The sequence below is a fragment of the Homo sapiens genome, chromosome 16 (assembly GCF_000001405.40).
Source record: "Homo sapiens chromosome 16, GRCh38.p14 Primary Assembly".
NCBI classification, from domain to species: domain Eukaryota; kingdom Metazoa; phylum Chordata; class Mammalia; order Primates; family Hominidae; genus Homo; species Homo sapiens.
Genome location: NC_000016.10, coordinates 70,011,062 through 70,029,362, shown reverse-complemented (window position 1 = coordinate 70,029,362; position 18,301 = coordinate 70,011,062). Strand labels below are relative to the sequence as shown.

Here is an 18,301-nt window from a genome sequence, read left to right as displayed (position 1 = left end):
TCTGTATATATAAATATTAACTATAAATGGTTCATCAACCTAAGCATAGATCTAAGACAATAAAATGTCTCGAAGAAAATACAGTAGATCTTTGTGACCTTAGGTTACGTTTCTTAGGATACAAAATATGTGAACCATAAATTGTACTTTATCAAAAATTAAAAGCATTAGCTGTTTGAAAGCCCCTATTAAGAAGGTGAAAGGCAAGTTGCAGACTGGGAGAAATATTTGCAAAACATTTTTTTCTTATTTCTTTTTTTTTTGTCTTTTTCTATTTTTATTTTTTATGTTTTTGAGATGGAGTTTTGCTGTGCTGCCCAGGCTGGAGTGCAGTGGTGCGACCTTGGCTCACTGCAACCTATGCCTCCCAGGTTCAAGCGATCCGCCTGCCTCAGCCTCCTGAGTAGCTGGGATTACAGGCGCATGCCACCATGCCAGGCTAATTTTTATATTTTTAGTAGAGACGAGATTTCGCCATGTTGGCCAGGCTGGTCTCAAACTCCTGACCTCAGGTGGTCCACCTGCCTTGGCCTCCCAAAGTGATGGGATTACAGGCGTGAGCCACCACACCCAGCCAGCCACTGTCCCAGGCCTGTCTTCTTTTAAAATTTCTTTTTCATTCTTTTCCCCAGAAGCTACAAAACATTTGACAAAGAACTTGTATCTAAAATATATAAAGAACTGTTACAACTCAATAAGGACACGAGCAATACAATTTTTTTTTTTTTTTTTGAGATGGAGTCTTATTCTGTTGCCCAGACTAGAGTGCAGTGGTGCGATCTTGGCTCACTGCAACCTCTGCCTCCCGGGTTCCAGTGATTCTTCTGCCTTAGCCTCCCGAGTATCTGGGATTACAGGCATGCGCCACCACACCTAGCTAGTTTTTTTGTATTTTTAGTAGAGATGGAGTTTCACCGTGTTGGCCAGGCTGGTCTTGAACTCCTGACCTTAGGTGATCTGCCTGCCTTGGCCTCCCAAAGTGCCGGGATTACAGGTGTGAGCCACTGTGCCCGGCCCACAATACAGTTTTTTAAATGAACAACAGATGTGAGCAGATACTTCATCAAAGAAAATGAAAATGTATAGCACTTGAAAAGATGTTTAACATCATTAGTCATTAGTGAAATGCAAATTAAGATCACCGTGAGACATTACTACCTGTCTGTTAGACTAGAGAAATTACAGGTGGCTCACACTTGTAATCCCAACACTTGAGAAGGCTGAGACGGCGAGATCAATTGCCCTCAGGTGTTCGAGACCAGCCTGGGCAACATGGCGAAAGCCCTAGGAAATCTCTACAAAAAATACTAAACATTAGCCAGGTGTGGTGATGTGTACCTGTAGTCCCAGCTACTCCAGAGGCTTTGGTGGGAGGTTGGCTTGAACCCAGGAGAGAGAGGTTGCAGTGAGCCAAGATTGTGCTACCATACCCCAGCCTGGGTGACAGAGCGAGGTCCTTTCTTAAAAAAAAAAAAAAAAAAAAAAAAAAATTCTTTAAAATATTATGTCAGGCCAGGCACTTTGGGAGGCCGAGGCGGGCAGATTCTGAGGTCAGGAGATCAAGACATCCTGGCTAACATGGTGAAATCCCATTTCCACTAAAAATACAAAAAAAATAGCTGGGTGTGGTGGTGGGCACCTGTAGTCCCAGCTACTTGGGAGGCTGAGGCAGGAGAATGGCGTGAACTCGGGAGGCAGAGGTTGCAGTGAGGTGAGATCGCACCACTGCACTCCAGCCTTGGTGACAGTGAGACTCTGTCTCTATAAAAAATAAATAAGTAAATAAATAAAATTTGCCAGGCGTGGTGGTGGGCACCTGTAGTCCCAGCTACTCGGGAGGCTGAGGCAGGAGAATGGCGTGAACCTGGGAGGCGGAGCTTGCAATGAGCCGAGATTGTGCCACTGCACTTCAGCCTGGGCGACAGAGTGAGACCCTATCTCAAAAAAAAAAAAAAAAAAAAAAAAAGGCAAAAAACTACAGTGACAGAAGCAGATCAGGATTTTCCAGGGCCAGTGAGGAGTCAGGGAAAGGGTAATTATATTGGGGTTGATGGGATTTGGGGGTTGATGGAAGTATTCTGAATCTTGATTGTGTTGATGGTTACATGCTCTATATATTTGTCAAAACTCATTGGACCGTATACTTACATGAGTGAGTTTTGTTGCATGTAAATCATACTACAATAGGCCGAGCATGGCAGCTCATGCCTGTAGTCCCAGCACTTTGGGAGGCTGAGGCAGGCAGATCACAAGGTCAGGAGTTCAAGACCAGCCTGACCAACGTGGTAAAACCCCATCTCTACTAAAAATGCAAAAATTAGCCAGGTGTGGTGGTGTGCACCTGTAGTCCTAGCTACTTGGGAGGCTGAGGCAGGAGAATTGCTTGAACCTGGGAGGTGGAGGTTGCAGTGAGCCAAGATCGCACTACTGCACTGTAGCCTGGGTGACAGAAAGGGACTCTGTCTCAAAAAAAAAAAAAAAAAAAAAAAATCATACTACAATAAAACTGCTTATTTAGGCTGGGTGTGGTGGCTCATGCCTGTAATTCCAGCACTTTGAGAGGCCAAGGCGGGAAGATCACCTGAGGTCAGGAGTTCAAGACCAGCCTGGCCAAAATGGCGAAACCCTGTCTGTACTAAAAATATAAAAATTAGCTGGTTGTGGTGGCAGGCACCTGTAATCCCAGCTACTTAGGAGGCCGAGGCGGGAGAATAGCTTGAATCCAGGAGGCTGAGATTGCAGTGAGCCTGGGCAACAGGGTGAGACTCTGTCTCAAAAAAAAAAAAGACAAAATAGAAAAACCACATAAATATTCACTTTATTGCCAACAGGAAAACCATCACTTCCTGCCTTATTGTTTAAAAACACAAATTCACCCATATTCAATCACATGATAAACTGGAGGGGCTGCAGTTTGCATGTGACTGAGTGACTTGCCAGTGTGATTATGTTGCAGATGTCAGAAGACACATGTCAAGGGTTAGTCACCAGACGTTGCCAAGAAATATGAAAAGAGAATCTGAATGCGGTCCGGGCACTAACACAGCAGTACGCTTTTATTTTGCTGGAAGAGCCTGTGGCACAGCCCATGCATTGACATTTGATCTTGTTTCAGCTAAACTAAATGTGTCTGTTAAGATTTTTTTTTTTTTTAATTTGAGGTAGATTTAGGTATGAGGGGAAAAGTTTTCAGCCCTTTTCCTGGCATAGACCTTACAAAAGAACTACTTTCTTTAGCTGTGTTTGTTGAGGCCGTTGGTGAGGGTTTGAAATCTTTTTAGTTGGCTTGCTGCTAACTGGAAATTGAGGACGGTTGGGGGATGCCTGACTCCACGTTTTAACTAAGCTCTCTCTGAAAAGGGATCTCCCCAGCAAAATCTGTAGTGCAATCAATTACCAAGGGAGCGGCTGAAAGTGCTTAATATGCTTAAGCTGGCTTCAGAATGCATGTTCTGTATTACAAAGAACCTGGGTGGAAACAAAACAAATTCATCTATATGTTTTGTTTGTTTTTTGAGCTGGAGTCTCGCTTTGTTGCCCAGGCTGGAGTGCAGTGGCACGATCTCAGCTCACTGCAAGCTCTGCCTCCCGGGTTCACGCCATTCTCCCGCCTCAGCCCCCCGAGTACCTGGGACTATAGGCACCCACCACTACACCCTGCTAATTTTGTTTTTGTATTTTTAGTAGAGACAGGATTTCACCGTGTTAGCCAGGATGGTCTCGATCTCCTGACCTTGTGATCCACCCGCCTGGGCCTCCCAGAGTGCTGGGATTACAGGTGTGAGCCACTGTGCCCAGCCCACCTATATGATTTTTATAAAGGGCATATCTAAATCAAAATAATCCAGGAAGTGACGATAAAATAAAAAGGTGGAAAAGTTTATCTTGGACAAATGCTGACAAAATGAAAGTACCATAGCCATATTAGTGTGGGATAAAATAGACTTCATATTGATGAAAGATGTAATCTCCTAAAAGAAATAACAGTTATACCTGCTGGGCACGGTGGCTCATGCTTATAATCCCAGCACTTTGGAAGGCCGAGGCAGGTGGATCACGAGGTCAGGAGTTCGAGACCAGCCTGGCCAACGTAGTGAAACCCCGTCTCTACTAAAAATACAAAAAAATTAGCCGGGCGTGGTGGCCGGTGCCTGTAATCCCACCTACTTGGGAGGCTGAGGCGAGGAGAATTGCTTGAACCTGGGAGGTGGAGGTTGCAGAGTTGAGATCATGCCACTGCACTCTAGCCTGGGCGACAGTGTGAGACTCCATCTCAAAAAAAAAAAAAAAAAAACAGTTATGAATGCTTGTGAACATAACTTTAAAATATATAAAGGAAAGCTAAAGGAAAAGTCTGATGTAACACAAGTATATATTGACAAACCACAATCTTGGTGGGAGATTTGAATATATTTCTCATGAGTCAGCAGATCAAGTAGATAGAAAATAAGTATATAAAAGATTTCAATGACATAATTAGATACATGTAATAGAGATTACATACTCTTCAAAGCTTGTAATAAGTCAACTCACAAACACTGATTTTAAGTCCTTCCACAAAGAAAATCTCAATAAAATAGGGATATAATAAGTCACTTCCCTCCTAGGGCGATAATGTGTATAAAAGTGTTTAAGGTATAAAGCCTTAGAAAACATTTGTTCCTTTTAATGCCCTGATTTGTTTTATCCTAGGAACGGCAGCAGTAGGACACACAGACAAGATTGGGAGATTGAAAGAACTCTGTGAGCAGTATGGCATATGGCTTCATGTGGAGGGGTAAGCCGGCGGTGAGGCTGGTGGCTCCATTCGGGCCTGCACAGAGTCCTCATGAGGACTGGACATCCAGGCTCTCACTTTGGTGACATTTATCACGAAGGGCTCTTCGGGTCACAGATCACAAAATAACCCAAATTGGCTTAAGCCCAAAGAGATCTTACTGGCTCACATAACTACAAAGAGCAGTGTTATGACTGCCTCAGGCACAACATCAACCAGGATCCAGTGTGTTACTCCCACCTCTGCTCCCCCAGTCACAGGCACTGGGCTTGGTTTCCTCTACCTGTGGACAGATCTTCCTGTTACAGTGCAAAGTAGCTGCAGAAACTCCATCCTTCTTTCCAGCTTCGTGGTCAGCTGGAAGTCCTAACAGAAGTCTCATATTGAACCAGCCACTGTGGCCAGGGAGAAGTAATCCTCTGATAGTTCAGGTTCTTTGCCCTCCTCTGGAGCAGATAGTGGTGTCTCCTCCCCACAAAGCTCATGTTCTGCTGGAAGAAATGGAGGTGGCGCCCCGGAAGGCTATTGTAGGGCCATTAAGAGAAGCAGGGGGAACGGACGTGGGCAGCCAGAGTAGCCCATATCCACCACATCATACAGGGAGGTTTCTTTTTGATCCCCAAGTAAAGAATGATAAAACTGGAAAATAAGATCCATGAAAGAGAATAATACTCCCATTATATTAAATGAGCGGGGATAGTTCCTGAGACACACTTTTATTAAAGTGCATTTTCAGGATTTTCCTTCATATGTATAAAGCACACCTTCTGTTGCTGTTATGAAAGCTAATAACATTAAAAATATACTTAAGTGTCAACTTGCAACAGCACAGCCTTTATTTTTTTAAGTACATGGTGAGTAAGCAACATTAAATAATTAGTTCTTAGACTGGTGTTTTTTCTTCCAGTGTGAATCTGGCAACATTGGCTCTGGGTTATGTCTCCTCATCAGTGCTGGTATGTTGTTGATTTACTGAATATTGGTGTTTTTAAGAATGAATTTAAAATCACTCAATCCCTCCTGGCTCTTCACAGTTTTTATGAATGGAGGAGGGTGTTAGGTTTGTGTATTCTGATAATCTAACAAAGAGTTGTTCTTGTTTTGGTAGGCTGCAGCCAAATGTGATAGCATGACGATGACTCCTGGCCCGTGGCTGGGTTTGCCAGCTGTTCCTGCGGTGACACTGTATAAACACGACCCTGCCTTGGTAAGTTTCCCCTCACTGCGGAGGGAGTGGGTGTGGCTAATACACATTATTGGCTTTGGGGGCAAAATCCAGAAAAATACAGGAAAAAGTGAAAAATACCCATAATTTCACTTCTATTTCATTTTTTTAAAGAGAAACTTGTAAGGTGAGACTTTTTTTAATGACATTTTATGATTGTATAATATTCTGTCACAATTTAATTATTCTCCATTTATGAACTTATAGGATGTTTTCAGTGTTTTGTTACTGAAATAATGAAGCAGTGAACGTCTTTCTGTGTTTCTAATTATTTCCTTAGAATAGGTTCCCAGATGTGGAATGACTGAGTGGGGGAGTTTTAAGCCTCCTGATCCACATTGTCCAATAGGTTGTAACTTTTTTTTTTTTTTTTTTTTTGATATGGAGTCTCGCTCTGTCACCCAGGCTGGAGTGCAATGGTGAGATGATCTTGGCTCACTGCAACCTCCACCTCCTGGGTTCAAGTGATTCTCTTGCCTCAGCCTCCCAAGTAGCTGGGATTACAGGCATGCGCCACCACGCCCGGCTTATTTTGTATTTTTAGTAGAGGCAGTGTTTCACCACGTTGGTCATATTGAACTCCTGATCTCAGGTGATCTGCCTGCCTCGGCCTCCCAAAGTGCTGGGATTACAGGCATGAGCCATCGCACCTGGCCACATTTTTTTTTTTTTTTTTAATCGTAGTTGTGGGCCAGGCGTGGTGGCTCATGCCTGTAATCCCAGCACTTTGGAAGGTTGAGGCAGGCAGATCGCTTGAGCCTAGGAGTTTGAGACCAGCCTGGGCAACATGGTGAAACCTCGTCTCTATAAAAAAAAACAACAACAAAGAATTGGCTAGGCATGGTGGTGTGAGCCTGTAGTCTCAGCTACTCATGAGGCTAATGTGGGAGGGCTGATTGAGCCCTGGAGATCAAGGCTGCATTGAGCTATGATCACACCACTGCACTGCAGCCTGGGTGACAGAATGAAAACGAAACCTGTCACACACAAAAAATAATAATAATGTGGTTCTTGATAATATAGGTCAGCGTGCAAAATAAGGTTTAAGTGATTTCTGCTAAAACAATGCTGTCTTGCTCAGTTAATAATGGCCAGGTGTTTGAGGATGCTCAGAGCTACCTTCGAAGTGGGGAGTCTCCTAGGTTCTGGGATGTGACCCATCTGGGTTTTCCACTGGCTTTTCCTGGCTTTGCCACTCCTGAGCTGTGAACCCTTGGACAAACCGAGGTCTCTGAGTGAAGTTACCTAGAATACTTAGCTCACAGAGTTGTTGGAAGATCACATGGATAATGCAAGCCTAGTGACTAGTATGGCATCTAGCCCACACTAAGTGGGTAGCAAATGGTAGCTGGTTAGTTCTATTATGAGATTGCAATGGCTTTGATTAATAAACCTCTTTTGGCTTTTTTAGACTTTAGTTGCTGGTCTTATATCAAATAAGCCCACAGACAAACTCCGTGCCCTGCCTCTGTGGTTATCTTTACAATACTTGGGACTTGATGGGTTTGTGGAGAGGATCAAGCATGCCTGTCAACTGGTGAGTAGAAGCCTGACATTTAAATGAAAGACTCCTTGGCCACAGCAGAGACAGAAAAACATCTCATTTCTGTACCTTCCATCAAGAGTGTTGTTGTCTGGATTGACTGTCTCATGAGCCAGAGACTAATCGCCCTGCATGTAAATATTTCTTGTTCAAAGTTCTGGGAGAAAGTGCTGGGTTGTCTGTCCCAGCATTTGTGTGCAGATGAAATCAGATGAAAAGGAACACCACTGTCAGCATGGGATCAGAAAAGAAGTCACAGATGACTTCCAAGGAGTGGAGAAGTGTGCAAAAGATGGAGGGGTGGGGAGCGAGTGTTCCCCTTGATTGACTGACTACGGTGAGGGAACAGGAAGGTCACAGGGTGGTTATGGAGGGCATGGATATTTTAAAAACCAGCTGGCTTGGGTTTCCAAATTGCAGGGCTCTTGGGGACAATTCTAATTCTCTCTCCATTTTAGGTGTGTTCTAATTGTGAAAAATATATAATTATGCTATATTTCAGTGTTTTAGAGCATTCAGCCTTCTATAACAAAATACCTTAGAGTGGGTAATTTATAAACAACAGACATTTATTGCTTACAGTTCTGGACGTGAGAAGTCTCAGATCAAGGTGCCAGGAGATTCCATGTCTGGTGAGGGCCCGTCCTCATAGATAGTACCTTGCATGTGGCCTCACATGGCAGAAGGGGTGAGCACAGTCCCTTGAGCCTCTTTCAGAAGGTCACTAATCCTGTTTGTGAGGGTTCCATCCTCATGCCCTAATCACCTCCCAAAGGCCTCAACTCATTTGGGATTAGGTTTCCACATAGGAGTTTTGCGGGGACATAAATATTCAGATCATAGCATTTAGAAAGCAAAAAAACAGGCTGGGCACGGTGGCTCACACTTGTAATTCCAGCACTTTGGGAGGCTGAAGCGGGCGGATGACGAGGTCGTGAGATCAAGACCATCCTGGCTAACACGGTGAAACCCCGTCTCTACTAAAAATACAAAAAATTAGCTGGGCGTGGTGGCGGGCGCCTGTAGTCCCAGCTGCTCAGGAGGCTGAGGCCGGAGAATGGTGCGAACCCGGGAGGCAGAGCTTGCAGTGAGCCGAGATCGCGCCACTGCACTCCAGCCTGGGTGACAGAGCGAGGCTCCGTCTCAAAAAAAAAAAAAAAAAAAAGCCAAAAAACAGGGTCATGTTTACTCAGGGTTAGAGCTGAGCCCTACCTAAGCTCAGAAGCACGTCACCTCCATTTTCTTACCTGTGAAATATAAATTATATGACAAGGATTGCCAGGATGGCTCGAGGAACGAATACAGGTAGAGCTCTTGCAGTAGTGTCTGTTCATATAGTAAGTTATGCACATGGGTTGAAATCTTTGTTTTAAATATATTCTTGGGGAGTTAGCACTTCCTCAAGTATCATTTCTATATTTAAGAAACATAGGTAGCCGGGTGCAATGGCTCACGCCTGTGATCCCAGCACTTTGGGAAGCCGAGGTGGGCAGATCATGAGGTCAGGAGATCAAGACCATCCTGGCTAACACGGTGAAACCCTGTCTCTAATAAAAATACAAAAATTAGCCGGGCATGGTGGCGGGTGCCTATAGTCCCAGCTACTTGGGAGGCTGAGGCAGGAGAATGGCGTGAACCCAGAAGGCGGAGCTTGCAGTGAGCCGAGATTGCGCCACTGCACTCCAGCCAGAGCGAAACTCAGTCTTTTAAAAAAAGAAAGAAAAATAGGCCGGGCGTGGTGTCTCATGCCTGTAATCCCAGCACTTTGGGAGGCTGAGGCGCGCGGATCACCTGAGGTCAGGAGTTTGAGACCTGCCTGGCCAACATGGTGAGACTCCGTCTCTACTAAATATACAAAAATTAGCCAGGTATGGTGGCAGGCGCCTGTAGTCCCAGCTACTCAGGAGGCTGAGGCAGGGAGAATTGCTTGAACTTGGGAGGCGGAGGTTGCAGTAAGCCAAGATCGTGCCACTGCACTCCAGCCTGGGTGACACCATCTAAAACACACACACACACACACAAGAAAAGTATTTGCATAGTGCTCTAGCAGTAGTCCCTTCGTTCATCATATGTTAGGATAGTTCAACAGTTTTAAGTATGCTCTGGGCTGGGTGCAGTGGCTCATGCCTATAATCCCAGCACTTTGGGAGGCCAAGGCAGGTGGATCACTTAAACCCCAGAGTTCAACACCAGCCTGGGCAATGTGGTGAAACCCTGTCTCTACAAAAAATACAAAAATTAGCCAGGTGTAGTGGCACACACCTGTGATCCCAGCTACTCAGGAGGCTGAGGTGGGAAGATCACTTGAGCCCAGGAGGTCAAGGTTGCCGTGAGCCCAAATAGCACTACTGCACTACTCCACTCCAGCCTGGGCGACAGAGTAGGACCCTGTCTCAAAAAAAAAAAAAAAAGTTTGATGCTCATTATGTTTACAAAAGCACTGCATTTTTTGAAAAGTGTCTCACTGTGCTATTAGCTCATTTCTTGAGATGTGGTTCTTAGGAAAGAGAAGCCTTAGTAACTTAGTTTAGAGATGGCTTGGGCACTCGGGAGATTTTTTCAATTTCCTGTGGCTATGGAGTGCAGGAGAATGATGCCATTAACTACCAGACCCTTGAGGTCAGCACAGCTCTGGCATCTTCCTGCAGGCAGAACCGTATACTCCTGAGGATTTGAATGCTGTCCTACTGCTGACTCAAAGGCTAATCAATGCATGTGTTAAACTGCATGGACATTTAGCAGACATGGTGATCTGTATATAGCCATGCCTTATAGTCCACAGTGGAGCATACATTTCCTGAGAGCGTAAATCAGCATTCGCCTCCTCCTCCTCCTCTTCCTTCTCTTCTCCCTCTCTCCTTTCTCGTCTTCAGTAGTTATTGAGCATTCACCTCAGTGTCAGGCACCATGAGTACTTTCATGCATCATCTCATTTGATCCCTGCAACTTCACTAGAATGTCAGTTCCACTGATGACAGTGTATTCAGAATTAATTTTCTTTAAGGAAAAAAAAAAGGAATTTCTTGAGGGGCTTTCTACTGTCCAGTACTCAGTGAATATCTGTTGAATTAATATACTCCAATCCCATGAGTTAGATATGATTAGTGATGAGGGACCTGGGATTGAGACATTAGTCTAATGACACTACATTCTAGACCCTGTTGCTAAGCACTTCTTGTATTGCATATCAACTCATTTACTCCTCACAGCAATGTGAGATACATACTGTCCTCCCTGTTTTATAATTGAGGGAACTGAAGCATAGACAGGTTACATAGCTGGTGACTGGCAGATGAAGTGACTTATCCGTGGTCCTGCAGGTGATGAGTGGCAGTACTGTGCTCTTATCACCAGCTCTTGAGCGTGCTGCATCCTCTCATTTGTCGTTGGTCTCCCCTAGTGTTCGGTACTGTGCCTTGCACGTGTTTATACTCAGTAGCTTTTGAATGAAAGACAGACTTACATTGCAAATACAACAGATTTCCGTGTCTTATTAGAAACTGCTTTTCTTGAATTACTACATGTAACTTTTAAATGAAAGATTGGTGAATATTTCCAGATGTTGAAATACAAAAACAGGTGGCTGAACTTAGAAACCACCAAGTGGCAGGTGACTTTGCCTGACATCCGTGTTCACAGACCTCCACAGCCCCTGGTGAAAACCACTTCTTCATATCCCATGTCCGTCTAATTACATGTGTTATTTTTTGTCATTTGCAGAGTCAATGGTTGCAGGAAAGTTTGAAGAAAGTGAATTACATCAAAATCTTGGTATGGTATATAATTTCATCTGTTTTCAAAATACAACTTTTTTTGAACTTCAGCAACTTAGAATGATTTTAGAACTTTAGAATGATTTTCTCCACATTTCAGTGGAATTGTGGCAGCTCCAGTAAAAAACAAAACAAAAAACAAAAACAAAAAAAAACTGCCTGTATTTATACAGTGAGCCTGAAGCGAAGAAATTTGAACCATACAATGTTTAATTCCTATGGTGCTTTTCATGTACTTCATTTATTGGGTTTAAGTTCAGAATTGCACAAAGATAAACACCATTGACTTCAGCTGCCCAAGGCCTTGGGCACACTCCTCTTCCCAAAATGAAAACTCACTTTGTGCCTCAGAATGCTTTGGGCTTCTCTTTCTGCAACCTTCTGCCATCAGTTTTCATTTGCGTGAAGTGGGAGAAAGAGAAAAGCAAATGGCTCTGCTCTTGTCTTCTCCTGATATCTTCCTGAAGTGAATCCAACAGATTGTTCCCTAGGCATAACTAGACAAGGAAATAAGGACTTAGGAGAGAATGAGGATCAGTTCAGGTTTGAAAGTTTTTGTGTTTTGCTTCATTGTATTTTAGAACCTCAGGAAATATACGTCAAATTCTGATTTAAATAGGTTCACTGAGTGTTTCTTTGACAATTCTGCAAGGTATGCTTAAGTTTAAAACTAACATTTGAGTGTATTTGGGGTTCAAGTCAGTAGGTTTATTTTTCTTTTAGAACATGGTTTGGTTTAAATACAAAAAGTAGCCGCGCGTGGTGGCACATGCCTGTAGTCCCAGCTACTGGGGCGGCTGAGGTGAAAGAATTGCTTGAACCCGGGAGGCGGAGGTTGCAGTGAGCCGAGATTGCGCCACTGCACTCCAGCCTGGGTGACAGAGACCCTGTCTCAAGGAAGAAAAAAAAATACATGGTTTGGTTGAAGGGGGTGTGGCTACTCTGCCTTCTAAGTGGGAGTCTGGAGCCAGTTGACCCGAGTTCTAGCTCAGTGGGGGTTCTATCCTTGGATGAGGAAGTGGACCACTGGAGAAGCGGAAGGGATGAATCTAAGTTCAGAGGCCTGGGCTCTGCTCTGAGCAGTGCCACAGGGTGGCCCTGTGACATTGAGTCATTTTCTTTCCAAGCCTGACTGTCAAATGAAAGTATGCTGGTTGGTCTCCTCTGATTGCAAACAGAGAAGCAAATTATGGCCTAGATTGAGCAAGCTGTTAAGAATCCAGGCGGTGCTGGGCCCGTCTGCTTTCCTGCCCCTGCCATGTTGAGCGCACTTGGCTTTTCCTCAGTCATTGCTGCTCCCTTATTCTCAAATTGGGGGACCCAGTGGTGCTAGTTAATCACCAGTTGTTTTGGAGCATCTCTGTAGGCCACACTGGCCCAGGCAGAAAGCCTGCTCTGTCCCTTCTTCCAATGGCTGTTTTTTCAGTAGAGGATACAATAATTGGCTAACACCATGAGGCATTATGGCCTGTGAGTCCTCATCATCACCATCACCATCACCATCACCACCATCCCAGCTGCTGCTTGTGAAATTCATGTGTGGTACTAAGTACCTTACATGAATTATTTCATTTAACCCTCCCAACAGTCTCCTTTGTACGTGCTGTTCTCTCTGCCTGGAAACACTGTTTCCCACCCCCAACCCCCAATTCTTCTGTTTATTTTTTTTGAGACAGAGTCTCACTGTGTAGCCCAGACTGGAGTGCAGTGGTGCGATCTCGGTTCACTCTAATCTCCGCCTCCTGGGTCCCTGTTCAAGCAGTTCTCCTGCCTCAGCCTCCTGAGTAGCTGGGATTACAGGCACATGCCACCATGTCCAGCTAATTTCTGTATTTTTAGTAGAGATGGGGTTTCGCCATGTTGGCCAGGCTGGTCTTGAACTCTTGACCTCGTGGTCCACCCGCCTCAGCCTCCCAAAGTGCTGGGATTACAGGCGTGAGCCAAAGCGCCCAGCCTCCCCAGTCCCAATTCTTCTCATGACTGGTTTCTTATCTTTCAGATCTTAATTCAAATCTCACTTCTTCAGAAAGGCCTTTCCTGGCCACCCTAAGATCATCTCCCACCGTCAGACATCACTCCATCCCCCTGGGTCGTCTTCATCACTCTTACTACTATCCGAAATCAAATCTGTTTGTTTTTTCCTATAGAAGCTTTGTAAAGGCCTTATACAGACTCACCACTGGGCATTAACACCCAAGACCCTAGCCCTGAAAGCCCAGTGCCAGGCCCCAGACATGCTCCCATCCCCTGCCATTCAGCTTACAGTCGTCTTTCTGTTTCCTCTTCTTTGTGGATTCACCTTTTTTTGGGTGTGAGCCCAGCCATGGTTTAACCTTTTTTTGGTTCTTGGTTATATTTAATCCAGTATTTCAGATATTCAGAATTGACAACTTCAGTGTTCACTCAGTCTATCACGTTACTAGAACCAGAAGTGTCTCTAACCCTGTATACTATTTCTTACACACTTTGACATTTGAGACCACTGAGTTCAAAGAAAGAAAAGATGATGATAATATTCATAGCAGTCTTGGCACTCACCTCATTCTGCCATCTCCTAGCTGAGGATGGGAGAGTGGGCGGATTATTTTGTTGCCTTTTTGTTCCTCCTTGCTTATTGGGCGTGCTCCCCTATTTAAATATTAAGCATCGCCCCCCTGCCGCCCGCCGCCATACCTTTAAAAGTATCACGTTTTATTTGTCTCTGTGAAAGTTAAAGATGATAGATGTGAAGGCACTTAGCACAGGACTGGCCCCGTGAATAATTGGCAGATTTGAATTCACATCCTGCTTGGTATGAATACTGTCCACACAGTCCTTTGAAAAGTTAGTAGAAAAGATCTTGGGCCACTGCTTCTTGTCTTTCCAAGTTAGCATTTCCTGTTGCGGCCCTACCAGTGAGTCATCACACTCAGAGCCTTGGAACATAAGTTTTATTACTAGAGCTATAGTACTGGGATTGTTAGATGCTTAGAGATCTTCCCCACCAGGGCCGCCCACACGCCCCTACAGTACCACAGAGCCTGCCAAGGACATGGATGCTTACGGTACCCTGACCCCATGGCTTGACCAAGTCAGGGTATACTATTTGATGCAAAACAGGAATTTGCTGCTGGATTATCGTAATACATAACGCAGTGGATATTTTCAACTGTTAGGAAACCCACTAATGAAGTTAGTCGTCTTCGGCCTGTCTTTAATAATAATTAAATATATTAGAAAATACACAGATCCAGTTCTCAGCTGTGCTTGTCTACATCACCAGCAGGACTTGCATCTTGTTCCGAAGGTTTTGCAAAGGGGAAGAAAGTAGTTGTTCCCCCCTCTTTTTTCCTATGAGTATGAAAAATTCTAGTTGGCCAGGCACGGTGTATCACGTCTGTAATCCCAACACTTGGAAAGCCAAAGTAGGAGGATTAATTGAGGCCAAGAGTTCAAGGCCAGCCTGGACAACATACCAAGACCCCATCTCTAAAAAAAAACAGTTTAAGTTTCAATAAATCCTGCATAATTTCTGGGATTCTTGAAAGCATGGGCTCTCTCCGCACTGAGTCTAGTTTCACTGCTTCTTACTGGTTTTAATCTTTAATGTTAGACCTATGTTTATCCCTTATTAAAATTTCCCCCTGCTTTAATTTCAATGTACCAGTGTCAAACATCTTATAATTCACAGTGTACTCTCAAGGCTGGCTCATAGTTATTTTTTAAAATTTTACTAAACATTTGATTTTTCTCTAGCAACTGAAATTAATCTCTGAACTTTTTAGTGTGTTTATTTACAAATAGAGCATCTCTAAGCGAGTTTTTGAACTCAGCATTTCATTTTGAAGGCGTCTGGAGTTTAATGTTACTTGGTGATATGAGACTTCCATTCTTCCAGGTGGAAGATGAGCTCAGCTCCCCAGTGGTGGTGTTCAGATTTTTCCAAGAATTACCAGGCTCAGGTGGGTGAATTTTAAAAGAGGGTTATTTTCATATCTGTGTTAAAGGCTTTGAATTTGATACCATTTCAATTTAAATATTTCAAAATATTTTTATTGCTGACAATCTTCAGTCAGCATTTCAGAAAAATGTAATAATTTTCATGAAAACTTCAGTCCGAAATGCCTTAGCAATTTGCTGATAGTTTGCGGTGATTAAACCAGGGGTTCCCAAATGCCAGTCCCTGGACCAGTGCTGGAATGGCTAAGAAAGAGTTGCTTGAACATAAAGATTTGTGGGTCTTACTTCCCACATATTTTGAGTCAATAGGTTGTGCCCAGGAATCTGTATCTTTAAAGAATGACCCAAGTGCCACCAGTCTAGTCCAGGGCACTACTTTTTTTACCTGGATGGCCATTGTCCCCTCTCAACTGACCTCTGACTTTCATACATTCTACACAGCCCATTCCAGACCATTCTCCACCTGGCAGAGTGAGGGTTATAAGTGGAAGTCACATGGTGTTGAAACTGGAAAGGTTCCCTTGTCCCCCTCGCAGGGCATGTGATGGGGGTGTGGCTCGCTTCTTCAGTGCCCCGCTGCTGCTCAAACCTCTAGGAGAGCATACAGACGGGCAGACTGTGGGGCTCCGACCCCATGGCAGCATCTAGGGGTGAATGTTTTACAGCTCCTAAGGCTCCAGCGGGCATGTGTTACAGTGTGCTCTTTTAATTTAGCCGTCTGTAGGCAGCTTGTTTTAGCTCACTTAGACCCCCTTCCTTATCACAAGGACAGAGGGATTAATGTATCCCAGGTTCTTGTCTTGGTGTACCGGAAGAATGGGATCACATGTGGGCTTGGAGAATGAGTGCAAGGTTTTATTGAATGAAAGTAGTTCTCCCCTGATGGGGGAGCCAGAAGGGAGATAGATTTCCCTTGGAGTTGGGCCGCTCAGCGGCCCTGGCCAAACTCCGCCTCGTCCCGGTGGTTGATGGCCTGCTGGCTTGCCGGTGCCTGTCGGGATGCTCTTCTGCCGGCCTGCTCTCCATGACCAGCCGCTTGTGTCTTTTTCCACCAATGTGTTCCTCTTGCCATCCAGCCACTTCTGTCTGCCCACTAGGGTCTCAGGTTTTTATAGGCCCAGGATGCTGGTGTGGTGGGCCAGCGTGGTCTTGGGAAATGCAACATTTGGGGGAAGGCAGGAGTGCTTGTCCTCACCTAGGTCCGTGGGGGTAGAGTCCTAGCCAGGGACCCGCCTTTCTCTCCCCAGCACTTCCCTTCCCTGCTTCTGTGTCATTTAAAGGGACCACGCTCTTCCCTTCCCAGCACTCCTGTATCAGTGTCACTTCCCTGCCCAGAGCCCCTGGGTATCTTACCATTTCGGTCGAACAAAGGCCAGGCTCTCCCATGCCCCATGAGGCCTGCGCACTCTGCCCCGAATTCACCTCTGCCTTCCCCTCTTCCACTCTCCCTCTTGTTCGTTGTGCCTCAGTCAGACCAGTCTTCTCCGCGCTGCAGAACACTCTGCCCTTTCCTACCGCAAGGGCTTAACACTCGGCGTTCCCTCTGTCTTACACACATTTCTCTCTTCTGGTGCCAGCTCCTCCTCACCATTTCGGTCTCCACTAAGTATCCACATCCTCAGCCTTCCCTGCCTATCCTGCCTGAGGGGACTCCATCATTTTCTATCAGAGCCCCCAGCTTCACTTGTGACACTAACAACCACATGGAGTGATTTTCTTTCTTTATGGTCTGTTTCCTCAACTAAAATGTAAGCTCCAAGATGACAGAAACCTTACCTGCCTTCTGTCCCAAGTGTCAGGCTCTGTGCCTGGCATGGGTGGGCACCCACTGTGAGGCCTAGTTGGATGATCGTGGCACTCACAGACCTCGCACGGTGCTTGGTAAACTAGTTAGTAACTTACAACAATTGCTGTTTCCTCTTGAAATCCCTTGAAAGCAAACCTTTTCAAAAATGAAATTAATAATTCTGTCTTATGTGAATGTATTCAAGTGTTACATAGATCACGAGGAGAAAGAAATGTAGCCCTTCTGTCAGATAATACATGAGAATTCAGTAATACGAGTCAGTGCCCTGGGGCTAATATTGGGATGGGAATGATGTGGGGTTTGGAGGGTGTTTTTTTTTTGGTCAGCCGTGTTTCTGGGAGTGACTCCCTTTCTGTGTTTTGGTGTCAGATCCAGTGTTTAAAGCCGTCCCAGTGCCCAACATGACACCTTCAGCAGTCGGCCGGGAGAGGCACTCGTGTGATGCGCTGAATCTCTGGGTGAGAATGGCAGTCGCCCGCCTTTCCTTTCAGGTCCCCGTCCATCACCATCCGACCTGCTGGTGAGGGTGACGCCTGCTTGTGTATGGGAACTGAGGCCCACAGGAGGAGCCGCCCTGCCAGTGCTGGGCCTGCTCTGGAGTTCTGTTCCCCGTTGCGTTACCACCTCACGAGCTGGGTCACCTCTGGCAAGTCCTTCCAGCATTGCTCCCTCACTTTCCTTGCTGCTGTATAAGGCTGTGAGACAACAGGCAAAAGGTGGGCTGCAGGGCAGCTGCAGTGGGTTCTGGTGAGCCTGGGCAGCACAGCCGGGAGCCCCAGGCAGAGTCTGCCGAGCATCTGCAGCTGGCAGTGTGGAGCCAGGCCTGCACTTTGATAGCGTTTTGGGCACTGAATAGCAGCTCTAGGATTTGAGTCTGAAGGGTCTTGTGAACAGTGTGGGACGGCGGCAGCAGCGGTTCTAGCCAATGCTGGACACGCCCAGCCTAGCAGGGTTGGCGGATAAGTCCTAGTACATCCGTGCTGGGGCTCAGCACAGCTGTGAGAGACCACAGAGCTGAGTGTCTCAAGCAGAAAGGAACTGGTCATAAACGAAATGAATCAATGCAGGTTACTAAGCAGTGTCAAGTAGCATGTTTTATGACAACAACTACAACTCCCTGCCTGCCACTAGGAGAAAAGACGCTGGGGGCAGACCACATGTCAGCAGTGGGTGTCGCTTAGTAATGTATTGTGGGTCATTGTTATTTTCTTCTTTTTGTTTACTTGTATTTCCTAAA

At 45.3% G+C, this 18,301-nt stretch overlaps 2 pseudogenes across 1 annotated transcript in view; both read left to right on the top strand.

Annotated features, from left to right (window-relative positions):
• The window catches only part of PDXDC2P-NPIPB14P (PDXDC2P-NPIPB14P readthrough, transcribed pseudogene), an 89,652-nt pseudogene that overhangs the window by 36,586 nt on the left and 34,765 nt on the right, over positions 1-18,301 (top strand). The window contains exons 9-15 of the transcript NR_003610.1: positions 4,693-4,777; positions 5,685-5,733; positions 5,886-5,984; positions 7,414-7,539; positions 11,266-11,316; positions 15,196-15,259; positions 17,434-17,522. The product of NR_003610.1 is annotated as a PDXDC2P-NPIPB14P readthrough, transcribed pseudogene (transcript). The remainder of the gene's footprint in view (positions 1-4,692; positions 4,778-5,684; positions 5,734-5,885; positions 5,985-7,413; positions 7,540-11,265; positions 11,317-15,195; positions 15,260-17,433; positions 17,523-18,301) is intronic.
• PDXDC2P (pyridoxal dependent decarboxylase domain containing 2, pseudogene) overlaps positions 1-18,301 on the top strand; it is a 54,947-nt pseudogene that overhangs the window by 36,586 nt on the left and 60 nt on the right.